A 4,922-nucleotide genomic window follows, 5' to 3' on the forward strand; every position below is an offset into this window, starting at 1 on the left:
TAACACTTTGATGGGTGGTGGCAGTGAGATCCATGCTCACTCATGCATGCCAGCAGCTGTGGAAGTGTGGCCAGGTGCATAAGCATTGGCTGGGGTGAGGGACTGACTGTAGTGGGACTGCAGTGTTCCTACATGTGCTTGTGCCAGTCATGCTCTTTACTCCTTCTCCTTTCAGGATCAGTGAGAAGGCTGGTGAAGCAGTCTAAAGATGAAAGTCCTGGTGGCAAAGCACTATCACCATCTCCCTATTGGAACACTCTCTTTAGTAAGCCATGCTGGGGCACATACCCTTGGAGATATGTACCAGGGACAGAACCACCACAGGAATTATGGACATTGACTACATGTGCTACTGAGTTCTGCTAATCATGAATAATTGCTACCTTGCCATTTATTTGGCTTTCAGTCATATAGCAGTCTAGGTGACAAATCTGTAACTCAACCTGTGCTTTTACATCCTACTCTAGAAATGCAGGGTCGCAGGTTACAGCACTCAACATACCAGGTTTAGAGCATGAGTCCACATATCATGTGCTAGGGGGTGGTGAAGGAGATGTCTGCATTTCCTGAAACTTACATCATAGATGGAAGGACGCTGCCTGAAACTTATCTTGAAGTATTGGCTAGGAAGCAATAATTATGTATGTTCACAGTAAGAAAGTAATGGTATTTCTTTTGTCTTTTTCAGACTGGTGTAGTCAAATCCAGTTTCCCTTCTGGCCAGGTGGAAATGTGAAGAAAAATTAATAAGGGTTTATGGCTATTTCTCCCTCTGCTTTGCACTGTAGCATAAATGTGAGCCCTGGGAGCGTATGAGGTCTTCAGCTCTGAAATCCAGGTCATGGTGCAGTCTTAGATCTAGAAGGGTGGGTTTCACCTAGTGTTTGGCAAGAGCTACATATCTCCTGCCTGGAAGAAAGTGATAGTACTGACTTCAAACTTGAGCCTTGAGAAGAAATGCTTTTGCTTTTCCTTATCTACGTCCCCCAAAGAAAGGTAACTGGCCAGGGCAAGTCTGAGATCAATGGTCATGAACCAACTACATGGAATTTGAACATATTATTGGCCGTAAACCACCTTAGTCTTACCACATAATGTAGACATCCTTTTGCAGTAAACCCAGGAAGGCAAGCTGCATATGTATTGACTGTCTCCTGGGTCCTATTATACTCACCACTGAGGCATATAAAGAAACAGAAACAGCCTTAGAGTGTCTAAGGGCTGTTTGGCTTTAAACATTTTTTATTTTCCAATTGAATTAGAGTAAAAACAGTAGTTAAAATATACCCTTGGCTGTTGTCATGAAAATTCACAATAACAGATTAGCCCAAAATAGCCAATTTTCTGTAGTTTCCAAGGATACAGCCATAGTTAGAAGTGTCATCTGCCAATTTAAAAAAAAATTTCAAGAGACATTAAAATAAGACAATGGAAGAAGAAGGGCCAGAGGGAAAGTTTTTTTTTTTTTTTTCTAAATAAAGGTTAGAAGAAAAGGATAAAGAATAAAGAGCTCTAAAGCAGATTATTTTGATTTTCTTCAGGCTAGTTTAAGGAAAATGACTGAAATGACTCTTAAATTGACTCTGGTCCCTCAGAAGTTTCTTAATTGATAACAAAACAGGATGGGTCATGTTTCTGCTTTACAAAGTCAGGATTGCCAAGTCCTCTAATTTACCAGACCATAAAACCCTTATCTTTCCCCTGTCTGATTTTAGCCTTCATTTATTAAGTGCTCTACTGACAGTCTCTAATTTAATCCCCATAACAAACTTATGAGGACATAATGTTAGACGCTTCTTATTTTGGTCTACTAAACATCCACTCAACTATTTTTTGGCAATATCACCTTGATGTTCTTTTAGAAAATTACCTTTTTCCCATCTGATAGTGTCCAATTAGACAGTAAGTTAAGATACCCTAGCCACGGTAGAAATGTGAAACAATCAGGCCACTTAGAGTCAATCCTGAGTAGATAAATCTTGACCTGAGCTTTAAGATTACTGAATACTGTTCAACTTATTTGCTTTGTGGAAATCCTAGATGAGGCTATAGTGTTCCTGCTAACTTGCCCACAGTGTTGTCGTATTGATTCCCATGTTCCTTTGTTAATTCTGTAAATTAGTAATATGCTTCCACCAACTGTCAATTTTTGTTTGCATTAGCAAAAACTAAAAATAATACCAAGTGTTATTCCCCTTTTTAATTTGATAAAACTGAGGCTCAATTAAATTAAATCATTTGTCCAAGGCTAGTCAGTTAATGATGTAACCTGTACGCCAGTTTATTCCTGCTTCCCTCTCCTCTGCCTCCACTATTTCCTTTTATGTGAACAAACAAGTTACCTCACTGACTACTCCCAAAGTCGAGGACTCCCTTTGCAACAGTGAAATCAAAGGATGACTCTTTCAGAGAAAAATCTCATCGTTCACACTAATCTTTTTTTTTTTTTGTGGTGAGTCTTTTCACATGTTTGGTGATTTTTCTGTTTGGTCTTTCCACCTGAGTAGGGGAAGAATGACAATGACTGTCATGAACTAGGATCAGATACAGTTTATTCCAGAATATACCAGTGTCTCTTTTCTCTCCTCGCCTTTTCTCATCTCATCTCATCTCCGTTTTTCTTCTTTTTTGCCCCAGTGTTCTTACCTAGGATGTGAGCATAAGAATAAACAAAAACAACAACAACAAAATTGGAGGATGGGAGGATGCTTAAAATGAAGAATATTGGAAAGAATATGGGCTTTAAAGTCAGGTAGAGCTAAGTCTAAATTCTAGCACCAGAAGTTTTTAGCTTGTTATTGAGGAGATTTACTTTTCATTTATGAGAACTTCCGATTTATTGTAATTTTTTTATCGATGCCTTAAAGACTCAGGAAGATAGCTGCATTTACAGAGAGGCAGTTCAACTGTCTAATGGCTACCTCTGGTCTGCTTTGACATCCTAGAACCCCTACAGTATTATTGCCTTTGTAAATGCCCACTGTTACTTAGAAGAAAACAAATTCCAAAGTATAGCCACTTCCTTGCACATGTAGACCTGCCTTAGGCAGGCTGTGAATAATCTTCAGTTTTTTTTGTGCTAGGTGAACGTGGTATCCAGATTAGAGGCTCCAAATGACTCTAGGATTACCCCAACTACCTGCCCTGTAGTTCCAGCAGGATTGTTTGTATGATTTGGTTCAGGGGAGAAAGAGGGATGGGAGACAGAAGAGCAGGAAGGGGATCAGGATAATCTTGCTGCTGTGATCCTTCTTATGTTCTTCAATTCAAAGTACTCAGCATGCCAAGGTGCCACACTTTGGGGTATTGTATTCTGAACTCAATAGGAGGAGGAAAACTAGGAAATTACAAATTAAACTGCCACCATACTAAGCTATTTAATTCCTGTTCTTCAAATAGCACTTTGAATTTTTATTGCAGCTATTTCATTGGTCAATATTAAAATTATTTTATGTAAGCTGATAACATTTAAGGGAAGTTGCTCTCAGAGACAAACCCTAAAATCTTGATGACTTAGTATTATAGGTGTTTATTTCTTGCTCATGTTAAATTCAGTTGACAATGGGAAGCAAGGGGAATGGCCAGGGGAGGGGAGCTTCGCTTCTCATGGTCGTTCTGCCATCTTTAACATGCAGATTCCAAGATCACCCTGGGCCTTAGCATTCAGTAGGCAGATGGAATAAAAGAAATAAACTACATGTTAATGCAGGAGATTTTTATGAGCTATATCTGAAAGTGGCACACCTGGCTTTAACCCACTCCCACTCACCACATTTGGTCCTATGGCCACATGTAACTGAAAATTAGAAGTTAAAATGGAATCCTCTTCTACGCCTAGGAGGAAAAGGAACCAGATTTGGTGAAGAGATAACCCATCTTGTCCACAACATATCCATATTTTATGTCAGTTCACTGGCTCTGTCAAGGCAGGGTGAGAGTTTTACTCACGTTTATCTGCCACTTAGTTTAATATAGAAACTGGAGATAATAGCAGTTCAATGAGTGTGCAATTTAATGGGTTTTTTGTTTTGAAATTTAATTGGAATTATTTAAATATTCTCTAATTTTAATCATGGGAAATGCACTTCTAGCAAGGACTTGCAATGGACAAGGTTACCCTAACACAAAGAAGAGATGGCAGATGGACAAAGTGGACTAGGTATGGAACAGATTTTTCCTGAGGCTCTATAAACTGTGAAAAAGCCCTGCTTTATTTTAACTCATCATGTAAAAGGACACATATGTTTAGCTAGGTTAGATCAGACAGAATATGGTCTGTCATCTGCCATGATCCCATGCAGTGTGATGGAGAATAATCCAAGATGACACTAGTATTGCCACTATATTCATACTTAGAATAAATACTTTGAACAGATAAGGCATTGTGTGTATGAGGAGGGTATGGGGGGCTGTTCAACATTAAAAAAATTGCTATTAGCATCTCGAAGTATTATATTTTTGTGGTATTGTCATATTATCATCTAAAATGATGTGGCATATAACACAATGTGTCATTATTTTTAATGATGTGCATAATCTCATTTAGAATAGGCCCAATTTTGGGCAACTTCAGCATGATAATCTCTTACTGAGATACAAATTACCAAGTGACATGGAATTCTTGAATTTTCAAAAACTAAGAAAACATGTAGTTTAACTCTCTTAATTAGGAGATCAGGAAACATGTTCATAAGTTTAAAGATTTGTAAAAGAATACATAGCACAGTGGGGACTGGAAGCAAGTTTTCTTCTTATAGAAGCCAATATTCCTGTGGTCTCATTGGTAGGTGAAGGACCACATGATGTGAGAGTCTCATAAGGTTACAACCAACATGGTTCTCTTGGTGGCCTGTCCTGTGTTCTCAGTTACTCCTGATGCGGAAATCTTTAGGATTTAATCAGAAGAGGCTAGACAAAAGGGC

This window comes from Homo sapiens, chromosome 3 (assembly GCF_000001405.40).
Source record: "Homo sapiens chromosome 3, GRCh38.p14 Primary Assembly".
In the NCBI taxonomy this organism is placed as follows: Eukaryota; Metazoa; Chordata; class Mammalia; order Primates; family Hominidae; genus Homo; species Homo sapiens.